The sequence below is a fragment of the Homo sapiens genome, chromosome 16 (genome assembly GCF_000001405.40).
Source record: "Homo sapiens chromosome 16, GRCh38.p14 Primary Assembly".
NCBI lineage: Eukaryota > Metazoa > Chordata > Mammalia > Primates > Hominidae > Homo > Homo sapiens.
In genome coordinates this window covers 73,183,165-73,209,662 of record NC_000016.10, presented here as the reverse complement: position 1 = coordinate 73,209,662, position 26,498 = coordinate 73,183,165, and the positions used below count along the sequence as shown (strand labels likewise).

The 26,498-nt window shown below is 42.6% G+C and overlaps 1 protein-coding gene across 1 annotated transcript in view, besides 1 other annotated feature; it reads left to right on the top strand.

The window, feature by feature from the left end:
- Nucleotides 1-26,498, top strand: part of ZFHX3 (zinc finger homeobox 3) — a 1,109,046-nt gene that overhangs the window by 682,268 nt on the left and 400,280 nt on the right. The gene's annotated exons all lie outside the window — the stretch shown is intronic.
- Nucleotides 12,497-12,998: an enhancer, noted in NCBI's record as "NANOG hESC enhancer chr16:73230564-73231065 (GRCh37/hg19 assembly coordinates)". NCBI's record gives its function as "activates a minimal SCP1, AML or CMV promoter by ChIP-STARR-seq in naive H9 embryonic stem cells {active_cell/tissue: H9 hESC(naive)}" and the evidence as "EXISTENCE:reporter gene assay evidence [ECO:0000049][PMID:30033119]".

The window sequence follows — 26,498 nt, the reverse complement described above, 5'->3', positions numbered from 1 at the left end:
ACCAGCTATAGTTTGAATGTTTGTCCCCTCCAAAACCCATGTTGAAATTTAACTCCCAACACAACAATGTTGGGAGATGGGACCTAATGGGAAGTGCTTCATGGATTAATGTTGCTATAAAAAGGGCTTGTGGAAGTGGGTTTGCTTTCTTTTGCTCTTCTACCATGTGAGGAACAGCATTCCTCTCCTCTATAAAAGGATGCGGCATTCAAGGCAACATCTTGTAAGCAGTGACCAGGCTCTCACCAGACACCAGACCTGCAGGCGCCTTGACCTTGGACTTCCCACCCTCCAGACCCATGGGGGAAAAATTCTATTGTTCATAAATTACCCAGGCTATGGTATTCTGTTCTAGCAGCACAAACAGACTAAGACAATGCTATTCCTCTCCTAAATTATTTTTATTTGGGAAATACAATCATTTTCACTGAAATATATTACTTATATTAACATGCAATGGGCTTAGTTTTAAATGAATTTTTAAAATATTTCTCCATTTCAATCTCTAATATATTAGTAGATATAACTCACGCAAACAAAAACTCTTGTTTTTGTGTTGTTTGGCCTTGGCTTTGAGGCTATAAAAGTAGAGAGTATGATAATTAATTTTATAAGTGGCCATTTCTTCCTCATATATTGGGTTGAACTGTATGAAATTGCCATTATTTGACCATGATTTGCTTACAAAAAAAATGGCAATTGCATTGGCAAAACCCAATAAAAGGATGATACATATTATTAATCTACCAGATGAGTTACTGCCACGTGGCATTTCAAAGTTGTTTGGGGCAGTACTGATAAAAAGACTTTCACTGTTTTATCTGCACACTCTCACTAGATTCATTTTGCAAAATAACATTTTCTTTCCCAAGTATTTTATTCATTATTTCCTATTATAAAAGTAATACATGGCTTGGGGGAAGTACAGAAAAGTAGGCATCTCTAATCCTACCAACCAAAGATAGCTACCTATGTAGCATTCTTAGCAGTGTATTACTTTCAGTCTGTTTTACAGGCATATTTGCCTGGATAAGAGCATATTGTGCCTTTCCATCTTGACTCCTACTTTTGTCACTTAATGCTATTTTATAAACATTTCTCATTTTGTTTAAATTTCCTTATTTTTAAAGATGTAAATATGTTTCCAACTATGAAAATTAACATGTTATTTTCATTTAAATCTTTGAAAATTTAGAAAACTGTGAAGAATTCAGTCACTCTTCCTGTCACCATCTGGTATAATCCTGCCTATGACGTTGGTATATTTTTCTCCATCTACACATGTTGTTTGGCACCCATGATATATTGTGTACATGGTTTTATGTTCTGTTTTTCATATGAGAAACATGTATTGTGTCAGTGGAAAACTTGTCACAAACATCAGTTTCTTACAGAATAATATTTTATCATATGGATGTAACATAATTTGCTAACTATCCCACTGTTATTATATTGCTTATACTTTTTCAAAAACAAATAATGTTGCTAGGAACGTTTTGGGGCAGACATAAATCTTTTTTTCTTTACTAGAGGCTTTTTGTGTGTTGTTTGCTTGCTTGTTTGAACCTTGTTTCTCAAAAATGGAACCATCCAGCTTGCTCTTGGAGGCTTTTGTCATCCAAACGCCACTCCTAATGTTAAAGTCTAGGAGATAGTGCAGAGAATGTTCTGGAGGAAAATGACAGCTTCCACAAGTCTGTAGGATAGATTCCTCAGAAGTAGAAAAGCTGAGACAAAGGGCACGGACATACATTTGGCTCTTCTGTTGCCAATTTTTTTCTTCCAAAACGTTGGCGCAATTTACACCTGCCATGTTAGAGTGGCTATTTCACTTCTCCAGGCCAGTACTGGGTTTTCTCTCTGTCTCTTACTTATTGTTACTTATTACTGACTGTTTCCTCTCCTCTCTGCCCTCACCTTCTCTTTTCCCAAGTAACTTAATGGACAAAATGTTCCCTTATTTTAATTTGCATGATTCTGATTTTTACTGATGTCAAAATTATTTTCCCAAATATTATTTGCTGGCCACTGATATCGCCTCTCTAGTGAGCCACTTATTTTCTAGATGGCTAACTTGTGCTGGAGTCAAACCTTAATGTCTACTCTAGTTATTAAATGAGTGAAGCCAACTGGCCCAAGGGGTACTGCTGTCGTTCTTTTGGCTTTATTATTACCTATTTACTAACCAAATGAACCAACTGGTCACTGTTAAAAATATTTCTGGCTAGAAATACAGAATGTTGAAACCACAGGTAGCCTTCTCATTATATCCTACATTGGTAAACACCCCGCCACAGTCTAATTTTGTGCCCTGTAATTTAAGAGGAAAGTGAACAACGTTTACTTCATAAAAGAGCAGTAACAGAAGAATGAACTTGAAACTGCCCTTATTTAATTGGTCAAGAAGCTCTAGAACCGTGTGTCGTCTAGTGCTTGCTGGCTCTTTCCTCTGGGTTTAAGTTTCATGAATGTTCTTGACAGCCTTTATAAATGATCATCAATATATTTGAGATAGTAAACCTTGGAGTACAGGGACTGAGTCAATTCCCTTGTTACCATTCTGCATAAATAGGTACTTTTTTTTATTTTTTATTTTATTTTAGTTCTATTTATTTATTTATTTATTTATTTATTTATTTATTTTTGAGATGGATTCTCGCTCTGTCACCCAGGCTGGAGTGCAGTGGCGTGATCTCAGCTCACTGCAACCTCCACCTCTCAGGTTCAAGTGATTCTCCCACCTCAGCCTCCCAAGTAGCTGCAACTACAGGTACCCGCCATCACACCCGGATAATTTTAATATTTTTATTAGAAATGGGGTTTCACCATGTTGGCCAGGCTGGTCTTGAAATCCTGACCCCAAGTGATCCACCCGCCTCGGCCTCTCAAAGTGCTGGGATTACAGGCATGAGCCACCATGCCCGGCCTACAAATAGATATTTTCTGAGCATTCTGTTTAATTGTATATCGAGATGGTGGCCATGTGTAGTGGGGAAAAAGAAAAATGGGTGGGAGAATTTTTGTAAATGTATTTAATTGGAAAAAAAATACTGAATACATGTTGATAAAGGAGAAGACTACAGATGCCAGTATGAATCTCTGAATGAGAAAATATTGAGAAATCTTACTATGATGTAACCAAGCTCTGGCCTAGATAAGAAAGGCAGTAGCGAACTCTAAGCTTCCCTAGGGATATAAAGAGATCAAAATTGAAAGGGAGACACCCTGACATAAATGTCTAAAACAGCAGACTCCCTGTTTTCCTGTGTTGTGTTGGCCAGATCTCTTCATTAACTATCTCCCATGCCTCCCCAGTATCAATAGTGGTTCATAATGATGACCTGGGGGCACAGCAAGATCTTGAAGTGCCCTCTGACTCATCAAAGAAATATTAAATTAAATGTATTTTCTGGTGGCCTAATTCTTTTAAAATTGGTAATCCATGTGTGGTATATATGATAATTCCCTATTAATTCAATCTTTGATTCAACCAGAGCAATATTTGAGTTATCCATTTCCCAACCACAGGAAAGAGTTGACGGTAGTTTTTAAAATGTAGTCAATCGCATCTCTATTGTATGTTGCCCAAAGAATTTACATAAGCACGGCAGAATATCCGTTGTTTTCTTGCTCTGTGATAAAAGTTCATTTTTAAAACCTCAAATTGCGATTTGTCAAAGTCCATTTGCCAGTTCTTTAACAATTTCAGCCAAATTGTAAATTGTATAACTGTCTGCATCATTTGCATACATAATCATGTTAGAGTGATGGTATAATCTGGGCACATCATTTATGAGAAGAAGGAACAATAGAAGCCAGCTTTCCATTCTTGGGATACTCAGAGTAATTTATTACAAGGCTGATGTTTTCTTTCTAATTTCCACCAAATGATCTCTTTTAGAATGATGAGCGCTAAGGACTGCTGTCCCTTGTGTATTATTTTTACTGCTTTCCTAATCTTGAATTGAAAGCCAAAATGAGCACCATGTTACAAAGCTGCTTCATTCACGCACACACACACACTCACAGCCACACGCGGTCATTTCAGTCCAAATAATATCACAAGAGTTCAATGAAACATCCTCCTCAAATGGTGCCCCATGTTAAATTAATTTAATCTCTGGATCTCGTTATTGAGGATTCTTTTTTCTGTGCATTGACAATTTGCCAATTGCTCGCTTCCTATTTTTAATCAATCTTGCAGATAATTTACCAGCTAACTAAATCGTTTTACTGGCCTATCATACTTCTGAACCCAACAGAGAGCAAAAGTAAATACAATCAGTCTTGTGTTGCGCCATCAGAAATTTATGATGACCCCAGGCAAGTAGCTTTCTGCAAGACTAATTTATGTATAGTCATATCTGTCACTGTGGCACTTGGACATGTCCTAGGCTTTTTTATTAGTTATTTCTAGTAACAACCCTGTGAGATCTCAAGGTGGGTTAGATATACCCTTTCTCGAGAGGCCTCTGAAATTGCATTAGATACCTACATTTTGGGACTCAGCCCTTCACTCAAGAGTATGGTCCAGACCATCAATCAGGGTCACTTGGAGTCCTAGGACTCTGAATCTCTGAGCAGCCCACACTCGTTATTCCACTTGCTAGTGTCTTACCCCACAATAAACACTGCAGCCCAGAGAGGAAATCACCTTCCTGGGGTCATAAAACAATTTAGTAGTAGTAAGATTAGGCTCCCTTGTAAGTTAATGGTTAATACAGACTCAGATAAGCATGGATTGAAATCCAAACTCAGCAGTCTACTCATGCAACGACTATGGGCAAGTTGCCTAACTCCTTTTGTAGCACTTTCAACCTCTTTAAAATGAGGAAAGCCGTGACTACCCTGCTGAGGTTATTGTGAAGGTTCAACTAGCAACAGCTCCCCATCCAAGTGTTGTGCTAGGCTATTTATGCTCTTTGCTGTGTTTAATCTGCACTATATCCTTGCAAGGTGGAAGGTTCCTGATACAAGGGGTATAGAGCTCCCAAGACAGCAGGGTTCCCTCAGGGACTGGTACCAGTCCATGGCCTGTTAGGAACCAGGTCACACAGCAGGAGGTGAGTGGCAGGTGAGCAAGCAAAGCTTCATCTGTATTTACAGCCATTCCCCGTCACTCGCATTACCACTGGGCTCCGCCTCCTGTCACAAGAGCAGTGACATTAGATTCTCACAGGAGCACAAACCCTATTGTGAACTGCACTTGCGAGGGATCTAGGTTGGGCACTTCTTGTGAGAATCTAATGCCTGATGATCTGTCACTGTCTCCCATTACCCGCTAGTTGCAGGAAAACAAGCTCAGAGCTCCCATTGAACCTACATTTTGGTGAGTTGTATAATTATTTCATTATATATTATAATGAATATAATAATAATAGAAATAATAATTTCTATAATAATAATAGAAATAAAGTGCACAGTAAATGTAATGCGCTTGATTCATCCCCAAACCATTCCCCCTACCCCCGACCCATAGTCCGTGGAAAAACTGTCTTTCATGAAACCAGTCCCTGATGCCAAAAAAGTTGGGGACCACTGCAGTGGAGAAAACCACCTCAATTGTCTTTCTTTCCTGTCTAAAAACCAACTGTTTATTTACTAAAAAAAAAATCTTGAAATTCGGAGAGGAATCTTTTCCATTCAAGTTGTAAAATCATAGGTTAACAGAGTTCAAAGTAATTTTGGCTTAACATACTCAAGTGCAGGCAGACAGCAATTGATGAAGCTCTCTGCTAATTCTTAGAACAATTCCAGCTTTCATATACCAGTCTGAAACTCACCAGACCCAACTCTCTCCCCTGAGGTATAGATGGACAATTGTCACTGGCTCAAATGGGAGTCATGCCCAGGTACCACTGAGCATTTGTAAATTAGTGATTTGATACACATAAGTCTCTTAGTACAGCCTATATACTGCAGTAAGTGCTCAGTAAGTGTTAGCTAGTATTATTACTATGAGCATTCACCTATCCCCAGCCCACCCAGCTCAGGTTAGATGGACCAGCTTTTTAAATATCCAAAGCTAGGAAGAGTCTCCTGTCCAGCTCAGAATTTGTTTGAATGGTTTTCACATGTTTTCTGGCCTAATGGTACCAAATAATTTTCCATAAATGTTTATGGAACAGAAACAAATATGCACCCACTAGGAACAAGGCATCATTAGGGATATAAAGATGGAGATTGAATTCTGACCTCAGAGAGCTTACGCTCTATTGAAAGAGAGAAGCAGGGCCTATCCATAATGCAAGTCAAATTGTGGGAATTTTAAAAAATAATGTCTGTATGTAAAGTACAAGAGGACTGGATGGGCCATGGAACTTTCTAGAGGAAGTGACATGAAAGCAGGGCCTTGAAGGATTAAGTCATCCTTCCTTCCTTCCAGCCATTTATCTCTCCACCCACCCTTCCTACTGAGTGCCTGGCAGTAAGCAAAAGGAATGCAAAGTCAGTTGATGCATAGTCTCGACCCTCAAGGCCATTCCAGGCATATGGAAGAGATACACGTGTGGGTCAGTGACTCCTGGACGACGGAGTAGATGCTGATAAAATAGGCACCAAGAGGCTGTGTGAGCATGGGGGAGGGTCTCCTAAATTAAAAGGAGAGATCAGGGAAGGCTTCCAGGAGGAGGTGATGCTTCAGCTAAATTTAGAAGACTAGGCTGGGAAGATCAAGAAGAGGGTAGAAGATAGGAACGAAAAAGAAAAAAAAAAGTTATGTCAAGGCGTGGAGGCAAAAAAAAAAAAAAAAAAAAGAAAGAAAGAAAGATGAAGCCTTGTGGCACCCCAGGTAGTTCAGAGTGTGCAGGAGGGCTGGGGATAAAAGCACAGTAAGGTGGGTGGGATGGTCATGACTTTGATGGGGGTGGAGGAGAGCAAAGGAGGTGGTCGTTCCAGAGAGAAGGACCTGCAAAATCAAAGGCAAAGAGATGTGAAAAGTGCATCACATGAAAGAAGGCCAACGAGCAGTGGAGTGTGGCTGGAGCAGAGGGTAGCAGAGAGGTGAGCCTGGAAAGCTAGACTGGGGCCGAAGTCCATCTTCCTGCTGTGGAATTCCTGTCTGGTTCCCTCAGCACCATCTGGTTGGCCCAGTCTCAGCATTACAGTGTAGTCATTTCGACTCCAGCAGCCCGAACATCTTCCCCTGCCATAGCGATGGTTTTACAACTTTGATTTTGATTCTGGGCCAAACTGGCCATATGGCTGGGCTGCCTTAGTACAGAAACTCTTTGAGCTATTCACCCTGGGTGAGGTTCATATTTTCTTCTCAGGCTTCATATTTCTCTTCCATGTGGCTTTTGATTGGTATTCTATTTTGGCCAACAGTTAATTTCAGAAAGAGATGGTTAGGAAATAACTAAGAGATGGGTGATTCAAAATGAACACATTCTTTTAATGGTGTTCATTCTAGAGAGTTTCAAGGGCTCAGAAATATTGAGTCTAGCCCAGGTTTTGGCCACATTTATGAATTCTAACAAGGGCAGTACTCTTACACATCACCCAGGGACAAAGAATGGGTGGTTGGCTACACAGACTTATAGTGAATAATATTGAGCTGAGATCTTTACATTTAAATGCCTTTTTTAAGAAAATGATTGTGAGTCACAGTTAAAAAAAAATGTTCTTCCCACTGATTTATGTTCTTGGTGTTTTCTGGGAATTTTGTCAATCTTCAGAGAAGTCTGATCATTTGTGGATTGTGTTAAATTCCTGAGAAACACTACCACGCCGTAAGTGGCTTTCATTCATCAATATGTAGGAAGCATGAAGGACAGGCAGCAATTCTTTCTAATAAGTTTAGTCCAGTAAATGCCTACTGTGCTTCTAGCTCTTTGTTTGGTATTGCAGATGCTAAGAAAATACAGTGACTATTCTTAAGGAGATTTCATGTAATTCAGCATTACCTGAACCAAAACGAAACAAAAATAGTGAATCTTCATCTTCATTATTATTTTTAAGGATTTTTCAGCTTCTCTCTTCTTGCTCTAGTAGAGCGTTTCTCATACCAAAGCAGTTGCACAGCCAAGTCTAAGATGCTTTTGCAGCATTTTCCTCTCACATGGACAACAAAATTGTTGAAGCCCTTTTAATTTAGTGAACCTGCCTAAGCATTCCAAATTTATTTCAGAATAAGTTTGAAACATGCAGATTGTTCACAGATAAAATTGTCCTAATTAATCAAGCCTCTTTGGGTTGAAACTAACTGTAACCAGATTCACATTAGCTTAAGTAAAAATGGCAGTGTTTTAATTCATAGACTAAAATGCATGGGGTTGGCTGCTTTAGGCTTAGCTGGATTCAACAGCTCAAACAGTAATATCTGACTCCCCTACTCTCCCCACACCTACTTTGGTTCTGTTTTCCTCTGTGTTTGCCTCATTTCCAGGTGGGCTATTGGCATGTGGTAGCCCCTGGCAGCCCAAACTCACATCCACCAGCATAAATACCCCAAGGGGACAGAGCCCCCCCATTGCCAATGGTTTCAGCAAAAGATCTTGCTTTGGCTCTCACTGTCTCAGCTCATGTCCATCACTGTAGACAAGGTGGTGTAGTGTCCAGCTGGCCTGGCTTGGATCAACCTAGAGCCAGGGAGTAGGGTCTGCCCTGCCCAAACCAAATGAACTGAGAGCAGGGAAAGGTGCTTCCCCATAAAAGAAATTTAGAGTGCACATTTCAAAAGAAAGGGAAGCAATACAGAGCAAGCAAGCACCATGTTCATTACAATTATCTCAGTACGTCCCAAGGCATTGGAAAATTGGGTGGTTTACATCAGGTGAAGGATGAATAATCATGAGCGTAACAGGTAATACATAATTAAAAAGTAAAGTATGTCATCAAAAAATTGGCTTTTAAAAAATATTCAAATGCTAAATAGCTCCTTTGATAGGATTATTTTCCCTGATTTCAACAAATTAACTATAATTGGTCCAGATGCTTTCTAAATTCACTTTAAGCTTAAAAAAAAAGTCTGTGATTTGTGAATTGGTTAGGTTCATTGTTTTGGAAGCATCCAGAAATGGTTTTCAGGTCATAGAGTTAGGTAAGCTACATGATACTGTGTAAACAGTCTGACATTTATCGGTTTTTTCAGACTATGGCTTCCTCACAGGGCCAATCTAAAATACACTTCTTCAAGGGATCTTTTATTTAATATCATTTTGTAGTGGAAGCATCAAGAGAATTCAATCCTATCTTTGGTTGAAAAGATATCATTTTTCATATGATTATTCGATAATATTAAATTTTCCTTCAAATGTATAAATCACATTCTCACCATAATTCTAAATATATAAAATAAAAATTCATGAAGGGGTTTTATGGCTGAAACAAAAAATATTTCCTAGTAATATATAGCAAAATAGCTGAGTAATTTTTTTAATTATAAACTTTTGAAGGCCAAATAATGAAGTCTGGATAGGAGACTTTAGAAATTCCACCAATTTAATACGATTTACTACTATTAATCAGAATTATACCTTTCTGCATAAGATATTCATTTTTTAGTTTTTATTCTTCTTCATAACACTGGTATGTTTTACTCAAAAACTCTCCAGAAGACACTTATTTTCTTCTATGTTTTTTCATCATGCTGACATTTTCCTTTACTTCCATTTCTTTTTTCCATGTGGAACCTTGATTACAACAAAGGCAAACACATATTTTACAAATTGACTAGTGTGGTGATTAATTTTTTAAAAGATCATAATAAATCCAATGTTACCAGCTTTCAGGTTACTTCATAGGCTTTCTTTTTTTTCACTAAGAACTGCCAATCTATAAAACTCTGTATTTCATTCTGGAAATAAAAGTTGCATAGACTTCAGTAGCATAACAAGAATGTGACAACATCCATTTTGGAGTTGGCCTCGTTCACCCTCTCACTGTAGCACCTGGAGGACTGTGATGTTACTTTCCATCCACCATGGCCTCCCAAAGGAGCCTGTGTTAGCAAGGAGACTCACCAATTTTTCATCATTCCAGAAAAGAATGTCTCTCTCTAGTGGACTCAGTGATCTTACCTTGAGGTGTTAAGAATCGCTAAGGGCTGTAAGGACTTGTGTAAATTACAGCCATGCAGAGAGGCGTTGAAAAATCAATAAGTAATGAAATAGTACTGGAGTGAAGTAGCCAAGAGAGCAATGGGTGGGAAACTCCCAAGGACGCAGTTTCATTTTGTCAAAAGGTAAAAGAAGATGTTCTGATGCATTCCTATAAAACCGGCTTCCTTGGAAACAAGAGGCTTTGGGCATAGATGGCAGCAGAGTCACTTTCATGGGCCATGGACTTGGTGCTACCGTTTCATTTTAGACAACCATGCATTTTATCCCACTAAAGCAATAAATATGGCAATTTCTTTGTCACCTTAGGTGTCTACCTGTCAGCAGGTTTTCTGTACTCTGGATACCTAAGTGTACCCCGTTACGCCCCATTCTACGAGGGACCAGCCACGTTGTCTACACAAACCGTCTTCTTCCTTTCTGATCATACGTTAGCAATCTTCTCCAGAATTTGATGGTATAGTTGAACCTGGACATCAGTTTCCAAAGTTTCCCCCCAATTCACAGATGACTCTAGAAATATACACCTGGAAGGTAAAACTCTCTGGTCTCAGCCTAATAGTCAAAGAGCTTTGTTTTGAACGGGACGTTCACAAAGTCGAGAGTCCCCGAGCTCACATTTGAATCTGTTTATTTCTTTTTCTTTTTCATTTAAAATGACATCCAATGTCATTGTTTTTGATGTTGATGGTTTGCTTTGAGAAGGCAGAACTGATTTTTTATAAAAAGGAGAGTCTGAAGTATTTGAATATAACAAGTAGGTTGGGGGAAAGAATCCAGTGCCGTTGGCTTTGCCTGGGAGAACTTGCTTCCCTCCTGCATCTGAGTGAAAGTCCCCTTTTGTTTCTGCCCTTCCCAATGATGACAGAAGCCCTTCGCTTCCAACATGTCCCTCTGGCATATTAAGGAAGTTTCTGTAGCGAGGATGAGCCACCAACTGAATCTGGAGGTCTAGATATAGGAAAAGGAAACCACAAAGATGTCACCCAAGAACTCATCTAAATGATGGGATTACATTTGCCTTTTGTGCCTCTTTGTTTTACATGCAGTTTCTGGCCTTTGTTTCTCGATAATCAACGAAAGCTAGAGAAGAACCCCAAGCTCTCACTTGAGTCTTAGAAATTCTACCGATTTATTTTGATTTATTACTATTAATCAGAATTATACCTTTCTGCATAAAATAAGCATTTTTTAGTTTATTTTCTTCTTCATAACACTGGTATGTCCAGCAATGGGGTTAAACTTCAAAAAAAAAAAAAAAAAGATACCAGCATGGAAGAGAATAAAGTAACCAATGGTATTCATGCAGTTAAAAGACTTACAGTCTTTGTGATAACGGTGACATGATTCTTCAAACACCAAATAAGGGGCTGGGCATGGTGGCTCACACCTGTAATCTTAACACTTTGGGAGCCTGAGGCGGGCGGATCACTAGGTCAGAAGATGGAGACCATCCTGGCTAACACAGTGAAACCCCACCTCTACTAAAAATACAAAAAATTAGCCGGTCATGGCAGCACGCGCCTGTAGTCCCAGCTACTCAGGAGGCTGAGGCAGGAGAATCACTTGAACCTGGGAGGCAGAGGTTGCAGTGAGCCGAGATCGTGCCACTGCACTCCAGCCTTGGCGACAGAGCAATACTCCATCTCAAAAAAAAAAAAAAAAAAAAAAAAAAAAAAACCACCAAATCAGATACTCTACTTATCTTCTTTTTCTTTACCGACACCCAAGTACATTTGGAACACTGACAAGAAGCATCTTTTATACCTGAAATAAAACAGGGTAATAACCATAAACTGAAAAGCACTGGGATTTGAACCAACGGCCAGCCCATTCCCAGCCCACTTAGTCTATGTCAAGTAAGGTTTGTGATAATGAATGAATGAGTTGTAATCATTGTTTTTTACCCTCAGGCTGTGTCTGCCTATAGTATGTAACATTAGAAATGAAGACATCTATCATGTTTAGTAGAAATACACATGATCAAATCCCAAAAAGAAAATACTTTTCTCTGAAATATCCAGATAAGTCATGGGGAAGTGGTTTAGGTGGTTTGAATTATCCGCTTAGTTGACTTTCCTCACCTCCTTGCATGAGCATATACAATCCAATTGCTTTATGTTTACTCATCATTTGCTACAATGTCTGGAGCAGGGTACTGAGATGAAAAATACAACAGACAACAGACATGGTACTTGGACCAATCACCATATCCACCTTGCTAGCTTGTCCTCTACTTCATGTGCTCATAGTAAATCCTTCCTAGTCACGCTCTCATGCCGTGGATATAGCAATACCCACCTCCTCCAACAATTCATCCATTGATGCCATTATCCATTGTTTATGACATTGTAACCACAGTAATGAATTGATATATCTTGATCTTTGAAATGCTTAGACAGGAGGCCACACATTATAAGAAAACAACAGTGTCAAGACTCAGTTCTATTCAGCAGGGGTTAGAAGTGGATATTGTGCAGAAAAATGCATTAAAGTTGAAGGGGGGGATTGTTTAACATGATGGTTTTAAAGACATAAACAATTATGGTGGGCAATAACTCCTTCCATCAGAAGATGGTAAAGACGCCCTACTTAGGCCAGGGTTGCTGGTGGTGTTCCAAGTCGTGCTACCAACAGGAAACACTAGGGGTCACCATGTCAATACCAGTGTCCCAGCTCCATGGCCCTCCAGAACGCCTACCATCAAGAGTCCTGGGCTCCCTGCTCATCCAAGGAATGCCACTTAGTGCCTTTCATGTGGCATGGGACCATTTGCAGTTATTTCAAGCATGGCTGAAATAGTGAGGTAGAGTCCTCTCAAAACCTCCTTCTGGTGAATGGTATTTTTTAAGTGCCACCTACACGTATGGGTCTATTATTTGGGCTAGATGTCATTATAAGGAGTGGACAGACCAGTCATTCAAATATGGCACATTTTCATTCCATAGCTACATGGGATTCCAACTCAGATGTTCTGCTAAAGCCAGATTCTCTCAAACCAGGAGAACACTTTTTTTTTTTTTCTGGCCAGGATGGACACTACTGTTGAGTGTTAAGCACAAAATTAATGTTTCCCTTGTCCTTTGTTTCTCAACTCTATGTTTTCAAGCCCCAGTTCAGAATTATTTTTCAGAGAAGAAATGTAAGCAGTTGTCTATGATCTACAAATATGGCGTCACTAGGCTGTATCGAAGTCCGTAGCCATCAGGATGGGAAATTGCTAACCCAAGTCCACAGGGAGCTCCCAAGCTCACTGTGATATGATTTCTGCGCACTCCTATTGCAGTCTTGAGGAAAATCTGGCCCTCCCCACCACCCCAAGGAGGAAGCTCTAGATATCCCATTCGGGGTAGAGCTTCTGAAGCTTGGGATTAATTAAAGCAGTTGAAGACCTGTGAAGAGCAATTAAACTGCACCAACCCCCACCCATCCCCCCTCCAAAAAAAAAAAAAAACTATTTCAAGAGAAACAGATGGCACTTGATAATAATGGTAAGATCACAGCCTAGATAAAGTACACTTCTAAGTCAAAATTAATTTTACAGCTTCTGGTGTTTTACACATTCTCTTTGTTTCTGTTTCATTAACTTACTGAGTACCTAATATGTACACGGCATGTGTGTTAGGCAATGAGGGAGATACAAAGATATACACGTATAAAGATGGTAACTAGTGGTTGCTACATTATCTTTCCTCTCTGCACCATTGGTGTAACTGCCTGACCCAAATCCATCTCTTCTGCAACCACCGCTTCTCTCCCACCTGTTCAGTCAGGCCCCTCACTCTCTCTAGCACTTCCTGCCGTTCCTGATTCCCCTTCACCAACCTTTACCTGTCCTATTTTTTTTGCTTTCTAGCCACTTAAATTGGATATAATAGTAAAGACACAGGCCAGGCGTGGTGGCTCACGCCTGTAATCCCAGCACTTTGAAAGGCCAAGGCAGATGGATCACAAGGTCAGGAATTCAGGACCAGCCTGGCCAATATGGTGAAACCCCGTCTCTACTAAAAATACAAAAACTAGCTGGGTGTGGTGGTGCATGCCTGTAGTCCCAGCTGCTCGGGAGGCTGAGGCAGAAGAATCACTTGAACCCAGGTGGCGGAGGTTGTAGTGAGCCCAGATCACACCACTGCAGTCCAGCCTGGGTGACAGAGCAAGACTCCATCTCAAAAAAAAAAAAAAAAAAAAAAATAGTAAAGACACAACCATATTTTGTAGTATTTCTGTATCTTCTCTGTACTTAATTTTCCAAACAGGTATTTGTTTCCCTAAGAAAAGAAAATGCAGATATTTGATTTTTTCGGAAAAAATCAGTTTTTCCTGTGGGTTATCAGCCCTTAATAGAAAAAACAAAGGGTCCTCCCCTTCTCCCTTTTCCAAACCATATTCATGGTTTGGTGAGAAAGTGATTTAAGAAATTTCCATGTGGCAAATTAATTTTGCAAAGCCAATGGTATAGAAGTAGAGAAATAAATCAAGAACATGCAAAAGGTGGTATTTGTTAAGTAGGTATTTGGAGAGACTTGAAATATGCTTCTGTCTAACCTGAAAATGAAACTCTTGTGGGTCTAACCCTTAATTCCTACCAAATTATAATGAGGTCATCCAGGTAGAATCCTAGCGAAGGGTATGTTTGCTATTATTTGTTTTTTGATTCAGGTTCTTGCAAACCCTAGCCTATAAACACCATACTTAAGAGAGTTCTTCATAAAACTTAAAATAAGGAAACTTCCACTATTAACTGAGAGGTTCATGACTTTGACCTTCCATTTCTCCAGAATTAGGAATTCTTAACAAAGTGACTCTTGGCTATTCACAATTGCCATGGAAATAGAGGCAAAGAGAAAGTTTCTCCAGGATTCTCTCAGAGCAGTGTGAATTGGGTGTGGACAAAAATTGCAATGACATGCATCAAAGGCATACCACTCAAGAAAAAGATTTATGAAGCCTAGCTTGGGTTCAATTATATCATACATTTTCTTTCTTTTTTGGACCTCTAGTTGACGTAACCATAATATAATTTTATTATACCAGATACTTTTCCTTACTATATCCAAAACTGTACTTGGATGATCCTGGTGACCTAGCAAGTAAGAAGGCAATAAGGTTGGATGCAGTGGCTCATGCCTGTAATCCCAGCACTTTGGGAGGCCAAGGTGGGAGGATCACTTGAGCCCAGGAGTTTGAGACCAGCCTGGATAACATGGTGAAACCCCATCTGTACTGAAAATACAAAAATTAGCTGGGGGTGGTGGTGCACGCCTATAGTGCCAGCTACTCTGGAGGCTGTGGTGGGAGGATTGCTTGAGCCTGGGAGGTCGAGGCTGCAGTGAGCCATGATCGCACCACTGCACTCCAGCCTGGGTGACAAAATGAGACCCTGTCTCAAAATAAATAAACAAAATAAAGGAAGGCAATAAAATAAAATAAAAAAGAAGTTCCTAAACCGGGGTCTATGAACCCCAGCAATTCCATGGATGGGTTGGAACACCCTGAAGATATATGTGAAGTTTAGGGGCATATGTTAACTCTTCAGCAGAGAAAGTTCATAACATTTGTCATACAAGCCGTGGCCCTCAGAAGCTTAAGAACCCACTGGACTAGAGGGTCCTAGCGAGGTCTTTCAGAAACGAATCAGGCTTCATCACTGCATGGACCACAAACATTTGACTCATGACGATTATACTGTCACTACATCTTGAGTGTATACCATGTGCCAGGGCATGGTTTAAGCATGTGGTGCATACTTACACAATCCTTATCAGATGGGAATTCCTATTATCCCCACTGTACAGCTGAGGATGCTGAAACACAGAGAGGCAGGCGGCTTCCCAAGGACATAGGAGGGAAAGTGGCAGAGTTAGAATATGACCAGGGTCTGGCCCCATAGTCTGTGGGGTTTAACAAACTGCTTCACCACTATGCAGTACTGCCTCTTGACTAAAGGCTCCTCCCAGACAGGGGTTGTCCCCTTTCAAAACAAACCAGAACTGAGGGTCTAAGGAACTGTGAACCCTACAAAGTGAGTCAGATAATATATACCTTAACTTGCTTCACTCCAGTCCTTACCCCCAGGATACTGGAAATTCAGGGGGATCCCAGCAAACTGTCAACATGTTCCTTGGTGCCAGGGAAAATGCCAGGGGCAGCAGCAGAGCTGGTTGAGCATCGACCTTCAGGACTCTTCACACCTGACATTTGACTAGCACTTTCTGTTGGCAGTTCACCGCCCCCATCTCTCCTTTCCTCAGTTGCTCCCCAACTCCCCTGCAAAGCAGACAGGGTGGAGATTATGTTACAGGCTAGAAAACTGAGGCCCAGAGAGGTGGTGCCTTCCTGAGTGAGGGTCACAAGACTAGGTTATAGCAGAGCTGTGAATAGGACCCACATCTTCAGGCCCCCAGTAACAATTCTCTTTCCACTGCTCTTTGCTGTCTCATCCACCAATATCACTTGGCACTGAAGAACAGGGTACCCCGAAAAGCAGGAATTCCACGTGCATCCACCTTTCCTGCAGAGGGCACATTTTTGTTTGTGAGCCTGTAGGAGGCATCACCCTGAACCCACGCAAAGCACTTTCCTTCCATTATTTCATTTAATCCTCAAAACAACCCAATGAGGTGGCTATTATTCCTCCAGTTTCACAGACAGGGAAACTGAGGCTTAGCAGCATAGTTAGGAAGTTGCAGACTTTAGACCCACTTGTGTCCAGCTCCCCACCATTTGCTCTTCCCTGTTGGGCCAGTCGATCGCCCAAGGAGACAAGAAAAAGGAGAGGGAAGGAAATGAATGACCCCATTTGTGCGATGAGCAATGCCTTCCACCTTCTCTGAGGACGGACAAATGGAAATCTGCTTAAAGCACCAGCGCATGAGGTTAAAATTAACGAGGACAATTACGAGCGATTAGTCACTGGAGTGGTGCTCCACGGGCTTCTTCAAAAACAGGATCAGCCCTCACTCACTTGGACCTAGCACAGAGGAGCCATCCAAGAAGTCTTTTTCTAGGCCTGTGATTCTGTGATTAACTCTTTTAAAGGAGCCAGACAGCTCAGACGCATTAGAAACAAAGACTCCATTTCTCAGGAGCTGTCGAGTCCAGCGGATCCTGAGTAACTTTCTTTGGCACCCGGTGATCATGAAATTAACACCAGGGCCGCTGGCACCGGATCACTCTCCTCTGTTGTGTCCCGGGGAGGGGAGAAGTCACTCAACCTTTTTTGTCCAGAAATCCCAGGAAGCCAGGGCGGCGGGTGGTTTGGGTTTCAGCACCTCTCAATGCCTCATTTCAAACAGTCACTCTTCCTAAATTTTCATTCATTCCAAGGTCCTAAGAGAAGCATCCTGAACAGACGCAGAGGGGCAGGGAGGGCTTTGCAACGGCGGTGGGATAGGGTGTTTGGGGAGGAGATCAGTGGACATCTGATCCCAGGGGCTGAGACTTCCAGAGCTGGAGGGAAGGTAGCAAGTGAGGCTCATGTGCTAGTGCCAGGGAGGAAGGCACCCCTCTGTCCCCAGATCCCCTCGGAATAAGAAGAAAAGCAACCTGAATAGTTTTGCGTGAACCCCCCACCACACAGCCAAGTAGGGCGACTGAGCTGCTGCCAGCAGCACTTCTAACGGGGGAGGCCCAGGGTGCTGCATGTTTGATGTGTTTGGTGGGTCAGATTCCTCTTTGTGGAACCTTCCCTCTGCTCCCAACATATGTCCACTAAAGCGTGTTTGCACAGCATGAGGAGGCCTGGCCCCACCGCGGCTACAAGCCAGAGAGGCCAGCTTTTCTCCTTCCCCTCTTTTAAGAGATTCCCAGGGCAGCCCAGTGCAGGTACCTGACCCCAGACCACAGGGAATTCAGGGTTGTCTTCCCGCAGAAAAAAAAAAGAAATACAGCTCTGTATTGTCTCTGAAAGAGCCGTGGGTGAGAGGGGACCAGAGAGAGATCAGACTTACTGCCACTGTAAAGAAAAGGTGAGAATCTGGGGGGAAAAATCGAGTAGGATGGAGGTGACCAAACGGGAGGGGTTTGGTTTGGTTTTTTGTTTTTCTGCAGCATTTCCTCTTTTGGAGATCTAAAATCTGCAAGCGTTACGTCAAAGCTTTCTCCAAATGACTTGATGAGGGTTTTTCTGTTGTTGGGTTGTTGTACCCCCGGGACTCATTGGGATGGCAGGATAAAAATTAATTAGAGGCAGTTTGGAAGGGGCTTTGCAAGACAGCCTGAGGCTACGCTTCAGTCTGGTTGTTAGAAGCAATATCATCACCGCCTCCTTGCCCAGCGAACAGACCTGTGCTGGGGCGGCCGGGGGGAGCCACGGAACGTTCAACACAGACATCAGAGCCAAGACTTCCTCCCAGAGAGATTACTTACCACAAACCAGTGGATCTACCTGCTGACAACCTCAGAAATATGTCTTGTTTCATTTTCAGATTTTTAAGAGGGGTTGCATAGAAAGCCCACAGAATCCTGATGAAACAGCTCCTGCAGGAGGGGCTCTGCCTCTCCCACGCCTCTGAATATGACATCAGGCTGGGCAGAGCCACCACACAGCCACCAGGAAAGCAGGATCCTTTTCAGCCATGGATTTGGTCCCATTTTTAGGGGGTAGCAAACTAAAAAGGGTTTTTAGTAAGCCAACACGTTTCCCCTAACCAATGATTATTTCAAATTCCGGCAATTTACAAAAAAAAAAAAATCCAGTCCCTCTTCACCCTGGTCTCTATCCTTCTCCCTTTTCTTCCTTCGCCCTGTAGTCCCTCATGTCCCCACTCTGCTCTCCCCCACACATAATCCTCCTCTACCTGAGACACTGGTTCGGTGAGTGACCTTGGAGTCTGATTAATTGGAAACTGGCTCCTTAAATCCGGATAAAACGGTTCAAAGCATGATATCAGTGCTGGCATTTCATCAGCCACAACAAGTAGCTTTTCCAGCTGTGTATCTCACCCTGGAAATGGAGACAGAAAAGTGAACAGATGCCTGGGTCCCCTTCTTACGCACACCTTCACTGTCATGAAAGATCCTCTTCACTTATGTAATAGAGTGTGTCTGCAGGCCAGTGTAAAAATGTAAGCTAGTTTGTCCTTATAACATTTTCTATGATGCAAGCAATCATTAAGTTCCCTGTTTTATGGCTGGAAAAACTGAAATTGTTCTTCTTTCCCATGTCCAGAAAAAGGCAATCTATGTGTGAGCTCAAAGAAAACTTGGAAACTCCTAGTGCCTGTCCCCATTCTCTCTAAACTTAGCTGTGTCTTTTTTATTCCTATAATTGTTTCCTTGCATCATAGTGGGGATGGGGGTGGGCGAAGCCAATGGGAACAATTACCAAAGGAAAAACAGCAACTTCTTCCCCCACACAGCCACTTCCAAAATGAATTCACCAGCTGTGTAATACGAAGTCACACCATTACACATGTCAGCAGCTTCCTGCTTCCAAAGGTGCGTTCCTTAAGGTGAGTCTTAGTCCCTTGGCCTCAGATAAGGAGTGGTCAAGATGCTCACTCTATCTTATGAAGAAACAAAAAGACTTCTTCCTAGGGAGGCTCACCACTGACGCTGAGCACTTGGCTTCTTTCAAGAGTGGATGTGAGATGTTGGTGAGCCCATAACATCACCTCCATTTCTCAATTGTGTGTCTTTAGACTTTTAGTTTTTAATTTTTTTTTTAATTTTTTTAGAGATGAGGGTCTCCCTATGTTGCCCAGGCTGGTCTTGAACTCCTGGGCTCAGGTGACCCTCCTGCCTCAGCCTCCTAAAGCACTAGGATTACAGGCATGAGCCACCATGCCTGCCCAGTCCTTACACTTTCACCATACAGACAAGGAGGAGTTCCCGGTACACGGAGATGCTCATACCTTGTTGGTGAGCTCAGGGGGAATGCCCAAGACAACTCCTTCCCCATTTGCTCCCTACCAAAGAGAGGTGAAAGGAGAGATGCCAGGGCTGCCCTCAGAAACCACATCCAGCCTAAAGTGGGCATCAAGGAACATGGCTGCAAAAAGCAAAATCCTCTCCACTCACTGCTTCCAAAACTAACCAGTCTGCCTCAGAATCAATCTTCTGCTTTATAAGCAGCCGGCATATTTAGAACCATGGAAATTAAAGACGGAAAAGACCTATTAAGTCTTCTAGATCATTCCCTAGGGTCCAGTGCCGGCTCGTTCCCTGTAGTACATTTGTTATTGCTATGTCAGGCCTAATTTCAAGTGTCTCAAGCAATAAACGTAAAGGAAGCAATGACAGTGGCATCTGCCGACCCCAGTGAACAATGATCACGTGATTAGAATTCTGCTAGCTGCTCACTGGCCTTTGGCATGCCCGGAAAGGGTTTGGAATCCCCGGGGTGTGGCCCAGCAGCTTCTAGAAGGTAGAGACGTTGGAGAATGTCTTCACCCTTTTATGTTAAGCAGGATAACATACTGCCTCTTAGAAATACCCAGATGTGGGCGGGCGCGGTGGCTCATGCCTGTAATCCCAGCACTTTGGGAGGCTGAACTGGGTGGATCACAAGGTCAAGAGATCGAGACCAGCCTGGCCAATATGGTGAAATCCTGTCTTTACTAAAAATACAAAAAGTAGCCAGGCGTGGTAGCTTGCGCCTGTAATCCCAGCTACTTGGGAGGCTGAGGCAGGAGAATCGCTTGAACCCAGGAGGCGGAGGTTGTAGTGAGCCAAGACCACGCCACTGCACTCCAGCCTGGGCAAAAGAGCAAGACTCCATCTCAAAAAAAAAAAAAAAGAAAAAGAAATATCCAGACGCTAGCCTCCCTGTAAATAGCCATAGGGGAAAAAGTGAGAACCTAAGTGTTTCAGGATTTGTTCTGAAACTAAACAAATCCTACCCCTGGGAATCTAACATTTTCTCTCTCAGGTTTTCTTCTGGTTTGGTCACCAGTCAACAAAGCCACCTTTCCAACAGTAGCAAAATAGCGGAAATATTTTCAGAGATGCCAGGGCTTTATTCTACAACATGCAGGACCAAGTGATAGGAAAATAAGGGCAGGTGACTTCACAATAGTTTAGTCAGGGTTTTCTGAAAAAACTATTTCTCTCTTTGTCCCTGTTTCCCCACTAGAGAGGAAGCAAGTCAAATTCACCATCTCAGGTGAGAGTGTCTTCACAGGAAGGTGGACCGAAGCTCATCAGCTCGAGAGGACAAAGGGGTCCAAACAGAGTATTGGCAAGGTTCTTTCTCCTTCTCTATTTTGAAATGGCTGCAAAAGTCCCTTTAGGGACCCCTTTTAAGGGCTAGGCCTGGTGACTCATGCCTGTAATCGCAGTGCTTTGGGAGGCCGAGGCCGGAGGATCGCTGCAGCCCAGGAGTTAGAGGCTGCAGTAAGGTAAGATTGTGTCACTGCACTCCAGCCTGGGTGACAGAGCCAGACCCTGTCTCTTAAAAGGAAAATAATAATAATAAAGATATCCCTGTTAAAAATTCCAAACCTGGCCGGGCACAGTGGCTCATGCCTGTAATCCCTGCACTTTGGGAGGCCGAGGCAGGCGGATCACAAGGTCAGGAGATCAAGACCATCCTGGCTAACAGAGTGAAACCCCGTCTCCACTAAAAATACAAAAAATTAGCCAGGCGTGGTGGCAGGCGCCTGTAGTCCCAGCTACTACTTGGGAAACTAAGGCAGGAGAATGGCATGAACCTGGGAGGCGGAGCTTGCAGTGAGCCGAGATCACGCCATTGCACTCCAGCCTGGGCGACAGAGCGAGACTCCGTCTCAAAAAAAAAAGTTCCAAACTTTTGCATTATAAAGCCCAGCTCTGTTATGCAACGTGGGTGACGTGAAAAGGAGTGCTTTGTCCAATGTAGAAACCACGCCAACAGTTTCTCTACACCAAGCATCATGAAAGTGTCACCACTTCACGTGAACAAAGCCAGGATCACCCAAAGAGGGCAAATCGCTGTCATCCAAAGAGACTCGCCTGCTCCATTTCTGGTCTAGAGGATGAGACCCGTTTTCTTTACCAGATACTTTAAGCAAAACTGAACTTTGAAAAGCCTGAAGTTTAACTCACAGGCCAGCAGCACATTCACTTCTGAAATGCCCCCATCTGCCACAGGAGTCTCACCACACTCCTTTTCTCTTTCCTCTAAAACATTATCTCATCTCGGCATTGCAGTTTTTTTAAGTTCAATGTCAATAGCTAGTTAGGAGAGGGCAGGGGGGTCAGGGATTAGGACTACAAACTGTCCTTGACGTTTCTCTGTAGGCTGATCTGCTGTTTGCATCAGCCCAATTTAAAAAAAAAAAAATCCCTCTTTACTATCTGAGAAAAGATCAGAACAGGAAAATGTCAGCTTGAGAGCTGACAGAATTCTGATAAGAATGAACTGGAAATAAGAGAAAGAAAGGAAGAAATGCTGTCACTCAAAGAAGTTGTTAATTTAATGTTTTTAGACAAACACATTTCCCACTGAGTGAGTGTGTGTGTGTGTGTGTGTGTGTGTGTGAGACATACAACTTGTCCATCCCCCCGCCTCTCTTCCAAACCCTCTTCTTGAGAGAAAGCCTGTCTATTTTGACTTGATTTGATTTGATTTCCACAGTCTTTCCACAACCTTTGAAAGATCTGGAAGGGTCAACCTTTCTGGCCTGAAAGCTGTGAGCACATTCACTCCTACAGAATTTCTTCTAAGCCCTGAAATAGTTTCCCGTTTCAGTAGTATCTGTACATATTTTTAGAGTTAGAGAGATAATTTAAATTCTTAGGCTTAATTGAACCAACAGAATGGAGAATGGAGTGCTACAGATGGAAACATTTTCCAAGAGTGATGACCTCTGAGGTCAAATTTAATACCTACATAATAAAGGCTTGACAATAATATAATGGGCATTGTTTCTGTTGCCCTATTTTTTTTAACTTGTGTAACAACTTTATCGTTAGGAGAAATGGCTGGTGTTTTTAAATATAGGATGGATGAAACATCGAAATGCGACCCCCATTAAAAGATATGTTTTTCATGAAGAAAAGGCCAAGTTCTTTGATGCATAAAACACTCAATAGGAGTTAAGTGTTTTGAGTGAAAAAAAAAAAAAAAACTTTTCCTGGAAACTAGGGAATTGGCTGGTATATCCACAAAGTGTTTCTTGAGTACCTACTATATACCTTGCACACTACTGGGTATTTTATGTCGTCTCAGTTCACCCTCTAATAACTCTACGAGGCAAATGCTATTGTCCATATTTTGCAGTTACAGAGAGTGAGCTAGGTGAGGGGGGTTCTATTCACGATCACACAGCCTAAGGTGTGACAGACCCAAGGTACACACCTGGTAGGGCAGCAGTCCCAAATCTTTTTGGCACCAGGGACCAGTTTCATGGAAGGCAGTTTTTCCACAGATGGTGAGGGGGCATGGCTTCGGGGTGATTCAAGCATGTTCCATTTATTGTGCACTTTATTTCTATTATAATTACATTGTAACATATAATGAATTATACAACTTACTATCATGTAGAATCAGTGGGAGCCCTGAGCTTGTTTTCTTGCAACTAGATGGTCCCATGTGGGGGTGATGGGAGACAGTGACAGATCATCAGGCATTAGATTCTCACAGGGAGTGCGCAACCTAGATCCCTCGCATATGCAGTTCCCAAAAGGGTTTGCGCTCCTATGAGAATCTCATGCCGCTGCTGATCTGACGGGAGGCAGAGCTAAGGTGGTAATGAGAGGGATAGGGAGCAGCTGTAAACACAGATGAAGCTTCACTTGCGTGCGCACCACTTACCTCCTGCTGTGTGATCCGGCTCCTGACAGGCCATGGACCAGTACTGGTCCGTGGCCCGGGGATTGGGGACCCCTGTGGCTGGGGATCTAGGGGGCCCATGTGTACAAGTCGTGTCCTGTCCTTAATAATTTCATCTCGTGTCATTATTCACTTTGTCAAAATGCCCAAATTGTCCTGCATTCAGCTATTTTTAATACATTACAAAAATTCATTAGAGCAATTCTTCAAATTTAACTGGGAGTCAGTTTTGCATTTTTATGTGCTAAAACTGACAGCCCCAACCTCTGAGTCTCACGCTCTCAAATCCAGAGGTTTGCCCATTCCACACAAAAGGAATAGCTTTTGGGGGATACTTGCTTACTCCTTGATAAAGCAAACACTGTATATATTAAGCTTGATCTATAGTAGTTAAGAGTGTGGGCTCTTGACTCAGTTAGACTTGGGTTCCGCCCTTTGCTCTGCCACTTGCAAGCTGTGCAACGTTGGACAAATGTCTCAACCTCCCTGAACCTCAGGTTGCCATTTGGTAAAATGAGGACAGGAATAATGCTTACCTCATACGGTTACATGGGGATTTTAAAAGAGACTGCATATAATAAGACAACCCACTTCCCGGCACATAGTAGGTGTTCAAGAAATATTAGCCATCACCTATGCCCTCAACATCATTCTAATATGGCTCTTATAAAGCACAGCTCTGCTCAGGTCGTCCCTTCTTTAAAATATTGACTGCCTATAAGAGATGGTACATGTAGTCCCAGCTACCAGGGAGGCTGAGGCAGGAGGATCACTTGAGCATAGGAAGTCAAGGCTGCAGTGAGCTATGATGATAGCACTACACTCCAGCCTGGGTGACTGAGACGCTGTCTCAGAAAAAAAAAAAAAAGAGATGGTGCATGTTCCTTAACTTTGCACACAATATCTGCTGTGCACCGGCCCTGCCGATCTCACCAGCCTGGTTCCTACTTTCACACACGGGAGATAATCAATGAATGTTTCTCAGGATAACCTGTTGAATTTCAGGTCAAAATTGAAATTCACTCTGAATTTCATTAAGGGAACAATTATGTTTTCAGGTTTACGTTTGACATTTTTTTTCTCCCAAATAGGGTTTCACTGACATTGAATCCTTGGGCCTCCTCATCCTTGCAAATGGATTTCACTTTTAATTAAAGATGCCAGGCAATCAAGGATGTTCTAGGACCCTGCAAGCAAGAACCCCACACTGGGGTGGCCGGAATGCTAGGGAGAGTGTCCCTAGGAAGGTTTTTCCCAGGAAGAGTCGAGATTTTGACTCTCCACCTGCCCCACAGGCTCACGACCTGCCTTTCCCTCTGGCTGAGCCCATTTGAAATAAATCCCCACTTGGGCAGTGGCAGAGCACCTCCTGGCTTAGAAGCAGCCAAGCCATAAACACAAAGAAGGAATTTTACTGGCTCATCCTCACCTCACTATTTTATTGTCTGTCTGGCATTTCCACTTCCACTGCCTTCTCCTGAAAACTGACAAAAATGTCTTCCATGAAACCCTCGCTTGGATTCACATTGGCTGCAAAGGTCTGCAGGTGGCTGCATTGCTGTCTCTTGATCACTCTGAAAGTAGAGGTGTGGGCCCCTGCCTGGACGCATCCATCACTGACTGGAGGAAACACTGGTGACACCACTGAGCCACGTGGCAAGCCCTAGCACCCCTGGAGGTGGGACAGGGTAGATGGTGAGGTCAGAAGGGAGGGTCTGGTCACAACCCGAAAGAGCCCATATACCTCTAGGAGAGAAAAGACGCAGTAGACCAAAAGCCTGGGGTGCTCAAAGCCAAGGACACAGACCAGGCCTCTTCTTTAGAGACACATGGTCCGCATCCCTGAGGCCCTGCTCTTTACAGATTCATGCGCTGGCAAAAGTTCTAAATTGCTGCCAGTTTCACAACTGTTTTTAATTTAAAGGGCTCCAGGCCATGATATTCCAGGGCAAAGAGAGATTTTTTCAGCAAGCAGAGCATAAGAACGAGATCAGAGCGCCCCCACGGTTCGCAGGAGCCGACCTCACCTTCCCAGCTCCCGAAATCGTCATTAATTTCTCCCCATCTCCAAAACGCACTTCCGCTCACAGATAAGGACGCACCCTGGAAACCATTCAGAGGAGGCTCACAGAGGGCAGAGCAGTCAGGCGCAGCAGCTATAAACATAACTTCCTTTAGGAAAAAAAGTAATAAAGGATAGCGCAGAGTTTTCCCAAACGTAAGACAGCGTGTGAAGTCTGGGCTGTAGCCCCAACCATCTCCAGAGGCTGATGGAGAGAGATGGGTTCAGTGACAGCCGTGAACAAGGAGTTCAGTCACTCAGACAGGGAACATTGGATGGACCCCTTCAGGGGGAAAACACAAAGAAACACCCACCTCACTTTACAGTAATCCAGTTGCAAAAGGACCAGAGAGCAAGCCAGGATCATTCTCCAGACATTTTATTATCCACTGCTGCCTTTTAAAAGGCAAAGGGTGAACGTCTATCTTTTTTTATTTTTATTTTTTGCATTTTTATATATTTAGAGGGTACACATGCAGGCTTCCTACATGCATATATCACACAGTGATGAAGTCTGGCTTTTAGTGTCCGCATCACCCAAATAGTGAACATTGTACCTAAGAGGTAATTTTTTTTGTTTTGTTTTAGACGGAGTCTTACTCTGTTGCCCAGGCTGGAGTGCAGT